This window comes from Homo sapiens, chromosome 19, assembly GCF_000001405.40.
Source record: "Homo sapiens chromosome 19, GRCh38.p14 Primary Assembly".
Lineage (NCBI taxonomy): Eukaryota > Metazoa > Chordata > Mammalia > Primates > Hominidae > Homo > Homo sapiens.
The window spans coordinates 2,507,293-2,524,229 of NC_000019.10; the positions used below are offsets into that span (position 1 = coordinate 2,507,293).

The following is a 16,937-nucleotide window of genomic DNA, read 5'->3' on the forward strand; positions in this document are numbered from 1 at the left end:
TGCACAATCAATGCGTAGAACCATAGCCCTTACCTCACAGCGTTTCCGGGAGGATCAGATGACACAATCCGAGGAAATGAACCATTATTGCTACTTACTGTCACTGCTTTCTTCTGAGGCCAACGTTTGGGCACGCCTAGAAGTTTGAAGGATTTGCCTCAGCTGTGAACAAATGGTGGCTACAGGTGCTGAGAATGGGTCTGAAGAAGGGCGTGGAGGGATCTTCCCTCCCCTCCCCTCCCCACCCCTCCCCTTCTCTTTCTCTCTCCCTCCCTCCCTCTCTTCTTTTTCTTTCTCTCTCTCCCCTCCCTCCCTCCCTCTCTCTCTCTTTCTTTTTTTCTCTCTCTCCCCTCCCCCCCTTCTCTCTTTTCTTTCTTTCTCTTTTTTGACAGAGTCTCACTTTGTCGCCCAGTCTGGAGTGCAGTGGTGTGATCTCAGCTCACTGCAACCTCTGCCTCCCAGATTCACGCCATTCTCCTGCCTCAGCCTCCTGAGTAGCTGGGATTACAGGCGTGCGCCACCACGCCCGGCTAATTTTTGTATATTTAGTGGAGACGGCGTTTCACCGTGTTAGCCAGGATGGTCTCCATCTCCTGACCTCGTGATCCGCCCGCCTCGGCCTCCCAAAGTGCTGGGATTACAGGCATGAGCCACCGTGCCCGGCCGCATGTGGGTTTTTCAATGGCTATTATTTAAGCATCTTCCATGTCCTTTGTGTGTGTGTGTGTGGTGTGTGTGTTTTGTGTTTTTTTTGTTTTTGACAAGAGTCTCGCTCTGTTGCCCAGGCTGGAGTGCAGTGGCGTGATCTCAGCTCACTACAACCTCCACCTCCCAGGTTCAAACGATTCTCCTGCCTCAGCCTCCTGGGTAGGTGGGACTACAGGTGCATGCCACCACACCCAGCTAATGTTTCTATTTTTAGTGGAAACGGGGTTTCACCATGTTGGCCAGGCTGGTCTCGAACTTCTGACCTCAGGTGATCCGCCCACCTCAGTCTTCCAAAGTGCTGGGATTACAGGCATGAGCCACAGTGCCCAGCCAAGGATGACTTTTGAATGCTGTATGATTTTATGTAACTTCTTCTTCTTCTTCTTTTTTTTTGAGACGGAGTTTCACTCTTGTTGCCCAGGCTGGAGTGTAATGGCACGACCTCAGCTCACTGCAACCTCCGCCTCCCAGGTTCAAGTGATTCTCCTGCCTCAGCCTCCCGAGTAGCTGGGATTACAAGCATGGGCCACCACACCCGGCTAATTTTTTTGTATTTTTAGTAGAAACGGGGTTTCTCCATGTTGGTCAGGCTACTCTTGAACTCCCGACCTGAGGTGATCTGCCAGCCTCGGCCTCCCAAAGCATTGGGATTACAGGCGTGAGCCACTGTGCCCGGCCTATTTTATGTAACTTCTATAGTTATTATATTTTGTTTTGGGGACCAGGAAAAGAAATTGTAAACCTTTTTGGCTTATTTCCCATGTCTTTTTTTCTGTGCATTAAAACAAAACAAAACAAATAAAACAAGGCTGGGCGTGGTGGCTCACGCCTGTAATCCCAGCACTTTGGGAGGCTGAGGCGGGCGGATCATGAGGTCAGGAGATCGAGACCGTCCTGGCTAACACGGTGAAACCCTGTCTCTACTGAAAATACAAAAAATTAGCCGGGCGTGGTGGTGGGCGCCTGTAGTCCCAGCTACTCGGGAGACTGAGGCAGGAGAATGGCCTGAACCCGGGAGGCGGAGCTTGCAGTGAGCTGAGATCGCGCCACTGCACTCCAGCCTGGGCGACAGAGCGAGACTCCGTCTCAAAAAACAAAACAAAACAAAACAAAAAACCCATTGCTAATAATGTGTACGATTTTGCATGTAAGTTTTTCAGTGACTGTATTATTAGGCTGGTGCAAAAGTAATTGCGATTTTGCCGTTAAAAAGGTGAAAACCACAACTACTTTTGCACCAACCTAATATTTAAGCATCTTCCATGTCCTTAAATACAAATCGTAATGGATAAATACAAGGTGGTCTGTCTGGAAAAAGGAATATTACTCAGCCATGAAAAGGAACGAAGCTCTGACATAGGCTAGCACCTGGATGAACCCTGAGGACATCACGGCCAGGGAGAGGTGCCAGACATAAAAGGCCACACAATACATGATCCCATTTATGTGAACTGCGAAGGACAGGCTAATCCACCGAGACAGTAAAGGGATTCACGGTGGCCTGCGGCTGGGGAGGGGTGGAGAGTGACTGCTGATGGGGATGGGATGTCTTTGGGGTGATGACAGTATTCTGGAACTACACAGAGGTGATGGTTACACAACTCCTACATTTTACATTTTATTTAATTAATTAATTAATTTATTTATTTCTGAGACGGGGTCTTGCTCTTGTTGCCCAGGCTGGAGTGCAGTGGTGCGATCTCGGCTCACTGCAACCTCCACCTCCCAGGTTCAAGCGATTCTCCTGCCTCAACCTCCTGAGTAGCTGGGATTACAGGTGCCCGCCATCACTCCCGGCTAATTTTTGTATTTTTAATAGAGACGGGCTTTCACCATGTTGGCCAGGCTGGTCTCAAGCTCCTGACATCAGGTGATCCACCTGCCTCAGCCTCCCAAAGTGCTGGGATAGCTGTCACGAGCCACTGCGCCCAGCCGCCAAAACACTTTCAGGGAAGGTTGTACCCGCGTAGAGGTCCTTTGGCAGCATGTGACAGCTTGTATCCTCCTGTGTTGCTGCCAGCATAGAGCCCAAAAGCTCTTCTTAATCTTTCTTTGTTTTGTTTTGTTTTGAGACAGAGTCTCACTCTTGTTTCCCAGGCTAGAGTGCAGTGGTGCGATCTCGGCTCACTGCAACCTCTGCCTTCTGGGTTCAAGCAACTCTCCTGCCTCAGCCTCCCAAGCAGCTGGGATTACAGGCACCCGCCACCATACTCAGCTAATTTTTATATTTTTAGTAGAGACAGGGTTTCACTGTGTTGCCCAGGCTGGTGTTGAACTCCTGACCTCAGATGATCCGCCCACCTCAGCCTCCCAAAGTGCTGGGATTACAGGTGTGAACCATTGAGCCCAGCCTTCCTCCTAGATTTTCTTTTCTTTTCTTTTTTTTTGAGACACAGTCTCACTCTGTTGCCCAGGCTGGAGTGCAGTGGCGCAATCTCGGCTCACTGCAACCTCCGCCTCCTGGGTTCAAGTGATTCTCCCGCCTCAGCCTCCCGAGTAGCTGGGACTACAGGAGCCCACCACCACGCCCAGCTAATTTTTTTTTTTGTATTTTTAGTAGAGACAAGGTTTCACCATGTTGGCCAGGCTGGTCTCGAACACCTGACCTCATGATCCGCCCTCCTCAGCCTTCCAAAGTGCTGGGATTGCAGGTGTGAGCCACCGCGCCCGGCCTTTTTTTTTTTTTTGAGATGGAGTCTTGATCTGTTGCCCAGGCTGGAGTGCAGTGGCGTGATCTTGGTTCACTGCAGCCTTTGCCTCTTGGGTTCAAGCAATTCTCCTGCCTCATCCTCTTGAGGAGCTGGGATTATAATCACTTGCCATCACGGCCAGCTAATTTTTATAGTTTTAGCAGAGACGTGGTTTCACCGTGTTGACCAGGCTGGTCTCGAACTCCTGACCTCAGGTGACCCGCCCGCCTCGGGCTTCCAAAGTGCTGGGATTCCAGGCCTGAGCCACCGCGCCCGGCCCCTCCTAGATGTTCTAAGTACAAATCCGAAAGCCCACTGGGCCTGAACGTCCCTGGTTTGTGGTGCTGCCTCCAGGGGTCCCCTCCTGTTACCTCTTCCCTGGGCCGGTGAAGGGAGGGTGGACGGGATGGTGTGGGGCCGCGGGTCCCCATGCCTGGAGCCAAGCCTGGGGCATCTGCTTGCATGCTAGGAGCTCCCTCCCCAGCAAGGCCCGGGCCAGAGAGAGAAGGAACAGCCCAGAGCCAGGAGAAAAGGGAGAGTGAGGCTTTTTATTGTGTATGAATTCACGTGGTATCGACAACTCCACACAATATTAAAACACTGCGAGAAAGTGGGTGCGGCACACCTGGAATTTTAAAAAAGTCAGAAATAAAAACAACCAGACATCCCAATGCAGATGGCATAGAACCTGCTAGAACCACAGGCGGCGGCTGGAAACAGGAGACAGGTCTTTACGAAGGTTAGATGGGCAGCGGTTCCGTGGACAGAGGAGGAGGCGCGGCTGGCCGGCATATGGCTTCTGTGCAGAGGGCCTGGCCTCAGGCCGTGGACTTTTTAATAAGTGACCCCTTGAGGAAGGGCGTGGTGGCTCCACCTCCACCCGGAAGCCCCCCCGGGTCACTCACGGGCGGACAGGTGTGTGACGGCCCTCTCCTACCTGCCCCAGAACTTGGGCAGGACGGGCTGTTAACTTGGAGATGGATGCGTGGCCTGGAGGCCTAGCGTTGCGCCTCGGACACGGTGGCCGGCCCGTCAAAGGGACCACGCAGAAGGAGGGAAACAGGAGCACCTTCCGCCCTGGCCCAGCCGCCCCGTTTATGTCCCCAGAGGCCAGAGGTCGCAGCTGAGCTATCTGTGCTTGGCCTGGGGTTACCCCTGGGGAGGGTGGGAGAGGGGTGAGGGTTCTGGCTCCTTCCTGGAGAGAGGAGGGCAGGGGAGGCGGAGCTGGTCCGGGAAGGTGCCCAGGTGGGTCACAACAGGGTCGGGGCCTGGCCCGCTGTGGCCCTTCACCTGGCTACTGGTGTCTCGCTCAGCAGCGGGGAAGGCCCGTGGGAGACCCAGGCTACAGAAGGAGAAACGGCCTTCTCTCTCCCACCCGACGCTGCCTTGTGTGTGTGCGTGGGTGGGGGTGAGTGTCCTTAACTCTCTTTTCCCCTGGCGTAGCTGAGAGAGGCTTGTCCCCCCAAGGCTAGAGCTGCTGCTGCCACCCCCGCCCGCCAGCTCCCCGTCTGGAGGTGCACGCGCGCTCCTGGAAACGCCCATAAAACATGCGTTCACCCCAGGGATTCCCGGCAGAAAAGCACATGTGGCGGTCGGTGTGTGCACTCGGGTGCCACGTCTGCAAAGGTATTTTCCACAGTGTGGTCACTGAAGTCTACTCAAGAAAAAAAAAAGTGGAGAATTTTTTTTTTAATCCCCCAAGCTAGAAAGAAACCCACAGGCTTCTGGCAATGGCCACCTCCCTGGGGTCCGGGAGATGGTGGGGTCTGGACAGCTCAGGGAACCCAAGGCCCTGTGGACAGTGAAGGAGAGGCCAGCCTGTCCTTCCCCTCCCCGAGCCTCAGTTTACCTGGAACGCTCAGCCCGTTTAACCCCACCATCTGCACCAGCCTAGGAGCCCCGGCTGCCTGGGGCTGCGTCTCTGCAGCAGCCTCCGTTCCCTGCTGGCATTTCTGGGGTCACATTGTGAGGACACACCAGTGGGGCCGGGCTTGGCACAGCTGTGCCCCCTCCTCCCTCTGCCCTGGCAGCGGGGGCTCGGGGATTAAGGCCTCTTTTAAGGAAAAACGGGGTGGGGTGTGTTTGTTCCCAGTTACCAAGATGGCTTGTTGGAAAGGGTGGAGGCAGGCGGGCTCTCCCTGCCTGGGGTCCTCCCAGGGTCTCTGGAACAGGCTTTTGTCCCTTCCTGCCATTCCTGCTATGCGTGGTGGGGACGCCCACACCCCAAACCCTGCCGGCTCCCAGCCCAACCACAGGAGGCTGCAGTCTCCGGGAGCCTCTGGGGCTCTCCCGGGCCAACAGCAGGTTTGGCGGGTAGGGCTCCCCGAAGCCCCAGCCCTCCCGGACCTGCCGTAGAGAGCTGGGTGCCGGGGGTGGGGAGCCCGGCTGTGGCCTGTGGGAGCTGCCCGAGGTTGAGGAGTGGAGGTCACTCCCCCGACACCTGCACACACACCCGGAGCCCTCTAGCCTTGGCGAGGTGGGAACCCTGGCAGTCACCAGCTCAGGAAGTGAGCCAAGCAGGGATCCCCGCCTCACGGGCCTGCACGGAGGACCTGGGCGGCCGTCCAGGAACCCTCTCGGCACGGGTTCTTAGACGCCTGTCTCCACTGGGGCCGGAGGGACAGGACTAGGCTAGTTTTATTCTACTACTTGCTTCTAGGCCAGCCCCGTGGAGGGGGTCGGGGCGGCCAGGCCTCCTGCGATCAGGGCTGCGTGGGGTCCATCTCAGGTGTGGCCGCAGGTGATGCCGGCAGGCCCTGGAAGATGTGGCTGCACCTGCTCCCGTCCGTGCCGCAGAGGAGGACGCAGTCATCTTTCAGAAGCCTCCCCCCGACCCCATGACATCTTCGATTTCCACTTGCCGCTGGGAGGAGTGGCCCATCCTGCGTCTAAGGCATCTCCCGGCCTCAGACAGCCGTCCTGGGTTGCACGGGGGTGGAAAAGCAAAAAGATCGGGTTCGAGCGACAGGGTAACGTTTTGAGCGGACGTTTTGATCTCCGGGACAACGTCTCACCTCCCAGAGTCCTTCAGAGTCACTCCAAGATCATGGAACAATTTTGTACACACAGCAGCACAGGGTAGCCCCACCCGCCCTGCCGCGGCTCCCCAGCCTGCATTTTCTGTTTGAAAAACGTCTATGGTGGATGCCAGAGGGTAGGACAACCTGGAAGAGCCAAGGATGGTCAAAGCCTCTCCCAGCCACGCGGATGCCTCATGCTTAAAACACACTGGGCGCGGTGGCTCATGCCTGTAATCCCAGCACTTTGGGAGGCCGAGGTGGGCGGATCCCGAGGTCAGGAGTTTGAGAGCGGCCTGGCCAATACGGTGAAACCCCGTCTCTACTAAAAATACAACAATTAGCCGGGCGTAGTGGCACACGCCTGTAGTCTCAGCTACTCGGGAGGCTGAGGCAGGAGAATCGCTTGAACCGGGGAGGCAGAGGTTGCGGTGAGCTGAAATCATGCAGCTGCACTCCAGCCTGGGTAACAAGAATGAAACTCCATCTCAAAAAAAGAAAAAAAAAAAAAATCCAAAAACATGATGGGCCGGGCCGGTGACGGCTTCCCTGGGGCAAGTCCCGAAAACCCATTTCTGGCACAGAGGGGACCCTGCAGAAAGGACCCATGGCTAACATCATGCAGGGGAGTCACACTTGGCAACTTTTCATAGACGAAGCCCCCTCCAGACCCCCACACTCCATCGTGCATTCATTGCAGGATCGTGCAGTTTAGCGACGGGTTCAACCATCACAATCCGAGTTTAGCCGTATGGAGTAACAATTTTTTAAATAAAGAGATATTTCCAAAAAACTTCATGATGTCACCTCCCGCCCCCCATCTCAATTTTACCTCTACTTAAAAACAACACAAAGCATTCCAGTGACCCTATGAAGTCTTTTTACCAATGGCCAATTCTCCCGGAACTATTGCCACCGGGCGAAGTCACCTCCCTTTCCCCCTCGGCGCCGGTCCACAATTGAAACGGCAATCGAGAGTTTTAAAAAATTGTTACCCCATCGCTGGGGGATTTCAGTTATTCCGAACGGGAAGTGGCCGTAAAGCCTCCATCCCTTTTGGCCCAAACTGAGAGGGCCATGGGGTCGGACCTGAAAATTCATCTCCACCTACAAGGTCCATTCTACCCCATCCGGGCGGTGGGAACGCCTTTTTTGGCGGGGAGAGGGGGGATTTCTTTTGGAATTAAAGGTTTTGGGGACTTGAGATGTTTTGTTTGAGCTAATTACTGAATGATGCCCTGCCTGAGACAGAGACAGAGACAGAGAGAGAGAGAGAGAAAGAGAGAGAGAGAGAGAGAACATATGAGAACACAGTTATAAAATAATACAAGGTTTCTTGTCCTTAAAGGGGTTCTCCGAGGCAGGGACTCCGACCAGCAGGGGGTCGTTCCGGGCATGTTGCTCACAGTAGCTCATGAGGTCAGACGCCGCTTTGGAGACCTGTGTTTGAGCACAAGGAGGAGACAGAGGAGACATAAGAAGAGGCTGGCACACCCGGGTTCACAGCAGCACCATTCCCAAGAGCCACAGGCGGAAACAGCTCAGGAGCCCATTGATGGGGGCGTGGGCAAACAGTGCGGCCCGTCCACACGCTGGAATATTACTCAGCCATGAAAAGGAGTGAGGCTCTGACATAGGCCACAACGTGGATGCATCTCAAGGGCCTCATGCTCAGTGAGAGATGCCAGACACAGAAGGCCACACAGTGTGTGATCCCATTTCTTTCTTTTTTTTTTTTGAGACAGAGACTCTATTTGTCGCCCAGGCTCTAGTGCAGTGGCACGATCTCGGCTCACTGCAACCTCCACCTCGCGGGTTCAAGTGATTCTCCTGCCTCAGCCTCCCGAGTAGCTGGGATTACCTTCATGCACCACCACACCCAGCTAATTTTTGTATTTTTAGTAGAGACAGGGTTTCACCATGTTGATCAGGCTGGTCTCGAACTCCTGACCTCGCGATATGCCTGCCTCAGCCTCCCACAGTGCTGGGATTACAGGTGTGAGCCACTGCGCCCGGCCGTGTGATCCCATTTCTATGAAATGTCCAGGACAGGCCTATCCACAGAGACAGGAAGGGGATGCGTGGGTGCCGGTGCTGGGGAGTGATGGCTGATGGGGGACAGGGTTTCCTTTTGGGGTGATGGAATGTCCTGGAATAAACGTGATTGGATGCACAGCATTGTGACTATATTAAATATCACTAGTGGTAAACTTTATATGTGTCTTGGCCAGGTGCGGTGGCTCACACCTGTAATCCCAACATGTTGGGAGGCGGAGGCGGGAGGATCACTTGAGCCCAGGAGTTTGAGACCAGCCTAGGCAACACAGTGAGGCCCTATCTCTACAAAAAATACAAAAATGAGCCAGGCATAGTGATGTGGGCATCTGTAGTCCCAGCTAACTGGGGGGCTGAGGCTGGAGGATTGCTTGAGCCTGGGAGGTTAAGGCTGCAGTGAGTCAAGATTACACCATTGCACTCCAGCCTGGGGGATGGAGCAAGACCCTGTCTCAATTAAGATAAATAAACAAATAAATAAATTTATGTGTGTCTTTTCCCAAAATTAAAAAAAGAAAAATGCAGTGGTGTGATCACTGCAATCTCTTGCTCCCCGGGTTCAAGCAATTCTCCTGCCTCAGCCTCCTGAGTAGCTGGGACTACAGGTGCCTGCCACCACGCCCAGCTAATTTTTGTATTTTTAGTAGAGACGGGTTTCAGCATGTTGGCCAGGCTGGTCTCAAACTCCTAACTTCAAGTGATCCACCTGCCTTAGCCTCCCAAAGTGCTGGGATTACAGGCGTGAGCCACGGCACCTGGCCTAAAAAATATTTTTTTAAAAAAGAAAAGGCTGAGCTTCCTTCAGCAAGCGTTGCCAGATTTTGAACACAAAGGGTCAGGGACAGATGGACCCCGTTTTCGGAGTCCAAGACCTCATTCTCACCCCAAGGAAGGAAGGTCCTGATAGGAAAACGCTGCCTGCACATTTGATGAGCTTGAGGGAGGTTTCACGGTGACACCCGGCCAGGGGGCTGGGCCCGGTGAGGACGAGATAAGCCCGTCTCCATGTTTCTCTTGCAGCCTGAACCCCCTGATGACTCCAACCCTCTGAGGGGCTGATGCTTCCGGTCACAGGAGGGACCCCCTGCCCCGGGCTGCTGCCAGCCCGCCCCAGGCTACACGCCCGTCTCTCCTGGCCATGCCTTTGGGGGTGCCGCTGCCACTCCCCGCTTAGCTCACCCCAGCAGGGCTGGGGCTGGGGTGTCCGGTGTCCTGGGTCAGGCTACACGGGGACACGTCCATCTGGCCCTGGATCTCATCCCGTAACCGGTAACTGTGTCTCTGTGGGACTCAGCGACCTTTCTCTCCTTGCTTTCTTTCCTGGAAGGCGAGAGGGCGATCACAGGGGGAGGATTAGATGTGGCAGAGGTGAGGGGATGATCCGAGAAGGATCGCAGTGTCGCTTCACGGAGGTGCCTTTGTTATCTGTTTTTGAGACAGGGTCTCGCTCTGTCCCCCAGGCTGGAATGCAGTGGTGCTATCATAGCTCAATGCAGCCTCCACCTCCTGGGCTCAAGTGATTCTCCCGCCTCAGCTGGGAGTACCTGAGTAGCTGGGACTACGGGAGTGAGCCACTACACCTGGCCATAATTTTCATTTTTATTATTTATTTATTTTTTTGAGACAGAGTCTCACTCTGTCAGCCAGGCTGGAGTGCAGTGGCGTGATCTCGGCTCACTGCAACCTCCGCCCCCTGGGTCCAAGCAATTCTCCCACCTCAGCCTCCCAAGTGGCTGGGACTCCAGGCGCACGCCACCACGCCAGGGTAATTTTTGTATTTTTAGTAGAGACGGGGTTTCACCATGTTGGCCAGGCTGGTCTCAATCTCCTGACCTCAGGTGGCCCGCCCACCTCAGCCTGCCAAAGTGCTGGGATTACAGGCATGAGCCACCGTGCCTGGCCTGGCCATAATTTTTAGAATAATTTTCTGGTACAGATGAGGTCTCACTATGTTGCTCAGGCTGGTCTCGAACTCCTAGGCTCAGGCGACCCTCCCGCCTAGACCTCTGAAAGTGCTGGGGTTACAGGCATGAGCCGCCTCGCCTGGCCAGTACCTCTGCATCCCAGATCCTCTGTCCTCCTTTGGACCCCAAGGATACCTGGGACCTGGGCCCTTCAAACGGCCAGGAGCCTGTGGGACAGCTTTGGGGTCTTGCCCAGCTGGGCAGCCGGGGGACGCTCATGCCCACAGAGTGAGCCCGCCGGCTGCGGCCTGTGATGACTCGGACCTGGCCTGCTTTCTAGACTTCTATTTGGGAAGCGGCCCTCCTGGACGACAGAAATAGCCTCCAGACCCCGAAAATAGCTGGCATTGTGGCTCCAGCACGTGGCACCTTGGCACCACCCCCCATGCCCACTGCGCTGGGCTGGTGAGCCCCAAGATCGTCGCCGTTGAGGTTCTGTGGTTCTGGTCGCCGCGTTGGAGCTGGGGATGTAAAACCTCAGGCGGGACTGGGAGTGGGGACGGGTCAAATCCTGGCTCCCCCCGAGGCCCGACATTCAAAGGGGCGGTGGGGGCCCCTCCTCAACATCAAACAGGGCAGGATGAGTCACCGCCCTCCGCCCGGGCTGGGGGCTGGCACCCACTCGTAAAAGGAAAACCACTTCAACCAGGGCTTTCTCTCTTTTCAGCCCGAAGGAATGCTTTGAATGCTCAGGTCTGTCCTCAGCAGTCAGATTGCTGGAACATTCAGACACCTCGTGGGAGGCAGACCCCTCCCCTACTGGTTGGATCCCGGCCAGCAGCAGCGTGATGGGGTCTGGGAGGGCTCAGAGCTGCGCTGGAGGGAGACTCACCGGCCGATCAGAACCACCTGTGCCACCTGGCCAGCAGGGACGACTCTGTCCGCCTCCCCGCTGGGAGCAAAGCAAGGGCCGGTCACCCCTTCCTAATAAATTCCCGTGGCCAATAATGACAAGCTGGTGACAGGTGCTGGAGAGCTGAGTTCTGAGTGGATACGTGGGGTGATGGCTGATTTTATGGGTGCACTAGGGCGGGCCATGGTGCCCCAGGGTTTGGTTAAATGTTTTTTTGTTTTTGTTTTTTTTCTGAGATGGAGTCTCACCCTGTCGCTTGGGGTTGGAGGGCAGTGGCGCAATCTCAGCTCACTGCAACCTCTGCCTCTCGGGTTCAAGCTATTCTCCTGACTCAGTCTCCCAAGTAGCTGGGACTATAGGAGCCTGCCACCACGCCTGGCTAATTTTTTTGTAATTTTAGTAGAGATGGGGTTTCACCATATTGGCCAGGCTGGTCTCGAACTCCTGACCTTGTGATCCGCCCACCTCAGCCTCCCAAAGTGCTGCGATTCCAGGCGTGAGTCACCGTGCCTGGCCAGTTAAATGTTTTTTTAGATGTTGCTGTGAAGGTTGTTTTTTTCTTGTTTCTTTTTTTTTTTTTTTTTTTTTTGAGATAGAGTCTCGCTCTGTTCCCCAGGCTGGAGTGCAATGGTGCGATCTCGGCTCACTGCAACCTCCACCTCCCAGGTTCAAGTGATTCTCCTGCCTCAGCCTCCCAAATAGCTGGGATTACAGGCATGCACCACCATACCCGGGTAATCTTTTTTTTGTATTTTTAGGAGAGACGGGGTTTCACCATGTTGGCCAGGCTGGTCTCGAACCCCTGACCTCAGGTGATCTGCCCACCTCAGCTTCCCAAAGTGCTGGAATTATAAGTGTGAGTCACCGCGCTCAGCCTGTTTTTTATTTTGTAGAGATGGGGTCTTGCTATGTTGTTGCCCAGGCTGGAATTGAACGCCTGACCTCAAGTGATCCTCCTGCCTCGGCCTCCCAATGTGCTGGGATTACAGCTGTGAGCCACTGTGCCTCACATGCAAAATTTTTTTTTTTTTTTTGATGTGATTCACATTTAAATCCGTAGACTTCAAGCACAGCAGGTGACCGTCTGTAATGCAGATGGGCCTCATCTAATCAGTTGAAGGGCTTAAGAGAAAAAGCCTGGGGTCCTTCCAGGAGGAGGGAACTCTGCCTCCAGGTGGCCTTGGGGTTCCAGCTGCAGCACCAACTCTTCCCTGGGTCTCCAGCCTGCTGGCCTACACTGCAGATTTCAGAGCTTGCCTTAAAATAAATCTCGACAAGGCGCAGCCTCAAGTGTGATCCTTGTAAAAAACTTCAAACGGGCCAGGCATGGTGGCTCACGCCTGGAATCCCAGGACTTTGGGAGGCCGAGGCAGGCGGATCACCTGAAGTTAGGAGTTCAAGACCAGCCTGGGCAACATGGCGAAACGCCGTCTCTACTAAAAATACAAAAAATTAGCCAGGCATGGTGGTGCATGCCTGTAATCCCAGCTATTTGGGAGGTTGAGGCAGAAGAATTGCTTGAACCCGGGAGGCAGAGGTTGCAGTGAGCCGAGATCGCGCCACTGCACTCCAGCCTGGGTGACAGAGCAAGACTCCGTCTCAAACAAACAAAACAAACAAATCCTTCAAACAACACAGAAGTGAAAAGTAGATACGACATGCAGTCTCCTCCCGCCTGGGACTGTGTCTCTCAGTTTAATTTGCATCTGTCATTGCCAAGGAGCTGGACAGATCAATGCAGATGAGGACGACAAAGCGCTCTGTCACGATGACCGTCTCCACGGGGCCCCAGTGTGTTTACAAAGCACGTTACATTGCTGCACGAAGGCAGGAGATAGGTGTTAGATCAGCTGCCTCTTTCTGCCGAGGAAATGGAGGCTCAGAGAGGTTAAGGGAGGGCCTCAAGGTCACACAGCAAGAGACACAGTTGGGGTGCAAGCCTCTGCCCTCCTGCCGAGCCTCCTGTTCATCATTTGCGGGGCCCCCAAGGGTCTCTCCCCTCCTCTTCCTGATGCCCGCTGGGCTCACCTTGATGCGCTCAATCCCGGCTTCTATGCGTAGCTGTTCCACCAGCTTCCGGGCCTGGGCTATGTTGTTAGTGGCTGACATTGTCTGCCATCAGCTCTGGGCCCCGTTGTTCAGAGAGCTGTGGGGGAAGCAGAGGGGTGTGGGTCAAAGTTCAGGTCAGGCCTCTGGGTGGCAGCAGGGGCGCCCGGCCTTGGCTCAACCTTCCCGACTCTAGGCACGGCCACTTTGCCTCTGGGTGGGGACCAGGGGCCTCCGTGTACAAAGAGCTGGCACTCGTTTAACTCTCAGCATAGAGCCTGGCACGCGGTCAGCCGTCACAATCCTCTGTGGGAGTTTGCAGAACGAGAGAATGAAAGGGCGAAGGCAGGCTGGGCGTGGTGGCTCACGCCTGTAATCCCAGCACTTTGGGAGGCTGAGGCAGGTGGATCATGAGGTCAGGAGATCGAGACCATCCTGGCTAACACGGTGAAACCTCATCGTTACTAAAAAAAAAAAAAAAAATACAAAAATTAGCCAGGCATGGTGGTGGGTGCCTATAGTCCCAGCTACTCTGGAGGCTGAGGCAGGAGAATGACGTGAACCCGGGAGGTGGAGCTTGCAGTGAGCCGAGATGGTGCCCCTGCACTCCAGCCTGGACGACAGAGCAAGACTCCGTCTCAAAAAAAAAAATAAAGAAAAAATAAAGAAAGGGCAAAGGCAATAGGCCAGGCCCTCTGGAGAAGGGAGGACCCACGCAGGCTCCCGGGTGGCCTGCCTCAGTCCATGGCAGGGGTTCTTGCCCTCCAGGGGACACTGGGTGATATCTGGGGACATCTGTGGCTGTGGGGGGTGCTCCTGGCATGGAGTGGGTTGGGTGGAGGCCAGGGACATTGCTCAGCTCCCTGCAGTGCCCCGGACGGCCCCACGCCAGGGAAGGATCCGAACGCGATATCCATAGTACCCAGGGGAGACCCTGGGTCAGGGCAGGGATCACAGCAGAACCCCTGGTGACTGTCCCCCTCCGTGTTTTTTTTTTTTTTTTTTTGAGACAGAGTCTTGCTCTGTTGCCCAGGCTGGAGTGCAGTGGTGTGATCTCGGCTCACTGCAACCTCTGCCTCCCGGGTTCAAGCGATTCTCCTGCCTCAGCCTCCCGAGTAGCTGGGATTACAGGCACGTGCCACCACACCCGGCTAATTTTTGTATTTTTAGTACAGACAGCGTTTCACCATGTTGGCCAGGCTGGTCTTGAACTCCTGACCTCAGGTGATCCACCCTCCTCGGCCTCTCAAAGTGCTGGGATGACAGGTGTGAGCCCGGCCTCTCCTCCGTGTCCTTCATATTGAACCAGTCAGGAGCCCATGCTGTTGCTTCTTGAATTCTCCTGGAAAAACCCAGGACCTCAACAGGGCAGACGATCACAGGACGCAGAGTCTCTTGGGAGTCCGTGGAATCCCCAGATCTCATCTGGGGATGACTCTGCCCTCCATGGAGCACTGGGTGATGTCTGGGACATTTGTGGCTGTCATGACTTGGGGGTGCTCCTGGCAGGGAGTGGGTGGAGGCCACGGATGCTGCTCAGCACCCTGCAGTGCCCAGGACGGCCCCGCTCCAGGGAACGATCCAGCCCCACGTGTCAGTAGTGTCCAGCCTAGAGAAACCTGCTTCGTAGGACCCAGTGAGGGGGTTGGTGCTGATGGGGGTGGCAGGGGCAGGGGCCAGGTTCAAGAGTCCTGGGCAGCCGCAGTCCCAGCCGGGCGTCTGTGAGCAGTTAATTAAGCCGCACCCTGTCTCTGTCATAACTCATGGCATCGCTGTCTGTTTTGCAGAGCCAGGCAGCCGCAGAGAAGTCAAGGCAGATTCCAGAGTTCTCAAAAAATGCCTACTTAGTGATAAGAAGGAAAGGACTGGCCGGGCGCGGTGGCTCACGCCTGTAATCCCAGCACTTTGGGAGGCCGAGGCGGGCGGGTCACAAGGTCAGGAGATCAAGACCATCCTGGCTAACACGGTGAAACCCCGTCTCCCGGGCGTGGTGGCGGGTGCCTGTAGTCCCAGCTACTCGGGAGGCTGAGGCAGGAGAATGGGGTGAACCCGGAAGGCGGAGCTTGCAGTGAGCAGAGATCACGCCACTGCACTCCAGCCTGGGGGACAGAGTGAGACTCTGTCTCAAAAAAAAAAAAAAAAAAAAAAAAAAAAGAAGGAAAGGACCATCCATGCATACCACACCGCAGGGGAATCTCCAGGGCCTGGGATGTGTAGCATGCTTCTGTTTGTGTAATGTGTTTAAGAGGACTTTTTTTAGACAGAGTCTCGCTCTGTTGCCCAGGCTGGAGTGCAGTGGCATGATCTCAGCTCACTGCAAGCTCCGCTTCTCCAGCTCCAGCGATACTCTCACTTCTGCCTCCTGAGTAGCTGGGATTACAGGTGCATGTGCCACCATGCCTGGCTAATCTTTGTATTTTTGGTAGAGACATGGTTTTACCATGTTGGCCAGGCTGGTCTCAAACTCCTGGCCTCAAGTGATCTGCCTGTCTCGACCTCCCAAAGTGCTGGGATTACAGGCATGAGCCACCATGCCCGGCCCAAGGACGAAATTTTAGAAATGGAGAACAGATTAGCGGCTGCCAGGGATCAGGGAGGGGCAGGGGCTGGGAGGGAGATAGGTCTCTGTATAAAAGGGCAACACAGCCAGGCATGGTGGCTCTTGCCTGTAATACCAGCACTTTGGGAGGCTGAGATGCGAGGATCACTTGAGTCCAGGAGTTTGAGGCCAGCCTAGGCAACATAGCAAGACCCCCTCTCTACAAAAAATTAGAAAATTAGCTGGGCATGGGTAGCGCACTCCTGTGGTCCCAGCTACTTGGGAGGCTGAGGTGGGAGGATCACTTGAGCCTGGGAGGTTGAGGCCAGACTGGGCAATTTAGTGAGACCCCATCTCTGAATAAATAATAAAAGGGCAACACGAATGATCCCTGTTAGTGCCTCAACTACGGTGATGAATCCACAAGCCTACATGAGTGATAAACTCACAGAGAGCCTCACACACTCACACACCAGCGGGCACAATACTGAATACTGTGGAACCTGAGTGAGGCTGGTGGGTGTGTGACTGTCTGGCTGCGATCCTGCCCATAGCTTTACCAAATGTTACCACCAGGGACGGCCGGGGAATGACACACAGAATTCCTCTACATTCTTTGTTAGCACTGGCTGTGACTCCACGGCGATCTCAATAAAAGGGGCAATTAAACAAAAAATCCCTTTGACACCGCCCAGCCTCCTTGGTTTCCAGCAGACGTCCCACCCCCACTTTTTGGGGGCAGAGAAGGCCCAATCTGTCTGCTCTGGAGGCAGAGCCCACGTGTGGCCGCTCAGAGGGCTCTGATTCCAGAGAGCTTCAAAGCAGCCACAAAACATCCAACTCAGGGAAAACCGCCCTTGGTTGGGCTTAAAAATACCTAAATTACTCAGTGCTAAAAATACGTGCACGCAGAGAACAAACGGGCTGGCCGCACCTCCTGTTTTCCTTGGAAGGCCAGGGGGTCCTATTTAGCATCCACAGTCAGGAGTGTCCACCCAGACCCTGGGCCCCTGCTGCCCTGGGCAGCCACCGCCCGCAATTTCCATGTGAGCATCAGGTCCTGAG

General features: G+C 54.9%; 2 protein-coding genes across 3 annotated transcripts in view, besides 5 other annotated features; both read right to left on the reverse strand.

Annotated features, from left to right (window-relative positions):
• Positions 1–3,926: 3,926 nt before the first annotated feature.
• The window catches only part of GNG7 (G protein subunit gamma 7), a 191,476-nt gene continuing 178,465 nt past the window's right edge, over positions 3,927–16,937 (reverse strand). For both annotated transcript variants that reach the window (NM_052847.3, XM_047438629.1), the window contains 2 exons: positions 13,316–13,433; positions 3,927–7,855 (listed from right to left, as the gene is read on the reverse strand). In NM_052847.3, coding sequence (NP_443079.1) covers positions 7,730–7,855; positions 13,316–13,396 — 207 coding nt within the window. In that variant the 5' untranslated portion in view covers positions 13,397–13,433 and the 3' untranslated portion in view covers positions 3,927–7,729. The remainder of the gene's footprint in view (positions 7,856–13,315; positions 13,434–16,937) is intronic.
• Positions 4,269–4,408: an enhancer, noted in NCBI's record as "active region_13696". NCBI's record gives its function as "activates an Ori minimal core promoter by ATAC-STARR-seq in GM12878 lymphoblastoid cells {active_cell/tissue: GM12878}" and the evidence as "EXISTENCE:reporter gene assay evidence [ECO:0000049][PMID:35858748]".
• Positions 4,465–4,975: an enhancer, noted in NCBI's record as "H3K27ac-H3K4me1 hESC enhancer chr19:2511755-2512265 (GRCh37/hg19 assembly coordinates)". NCBI's record gives its function as "activates a minimal SCP1, AML or CMV promoter by ChIP-STARR-seq in primed H9 embryonic stem cells {active_cell/tissue: H9 hESC(primed)}" and the evidence as "EXISTENCE:reporter gene assay evidence [ECO:0000049][PMID:30033119]".
• On the reverse strand, positions 4,548–6,279 carry LOC124904789 (uncharacterized). The gene is made up of 3 exons (XM_047439801.1): positions 6,233–6,279; positions 5,649–5,799; positions 4,548–5,042 (listed from the first exon to the last, which is right to left on the reverse strand). Exons 1-3 carry the CDS (start codon positions 6,277–6,279, stop codon positions 4,548–4,550), a joined length of 693 nt encoding a protein of 230 aa, XP_047295757.1.
• Positions 4,559–4,738: a silencer, noted in NCBI's record as "silent region_9801". NCBI's record gives its function as "represses an Ori minimal core promoter by ATAC-STARR-seq in GM12878 lymphoblastoid cells {active_cell/tissue: GM12878}" and the evidence as "EXISTENCE:reporter gene assay evidence [ECO:0000049][PMID:35858748]".
• Positions 5,089–5,168: an enhancer, noted in NCBI's record as "active region_13697". NCBI's record gives its function as "activates an Ori minimal core promoter by ATAC-STARR-seq in GM12878 lymphoblastoid cells {active_cell/tissue: GM12878}" and the evidence as "EXISTENCE:reporter gene assay evidence [ECO:0000049][PMID:35858748]".
• Positions 11,100–11,772: an enhancer, noted in NCBI's record as "H3K4me1 hESC enhancer chr19:2518390-2519062 (GRCh37/hg19 assembly coordinates)". NCBI's record gives its function as "activates a minimal SCP1, AML or CMV promoter by ChIP-STARR-seq in primed H9 embryonic stem cells {active_cell/tissue: H9 hESC(primed)}" and the evidence as "EXISTENCE:reporter gene assay evidence [ECO:0000049][PMID:30033119]".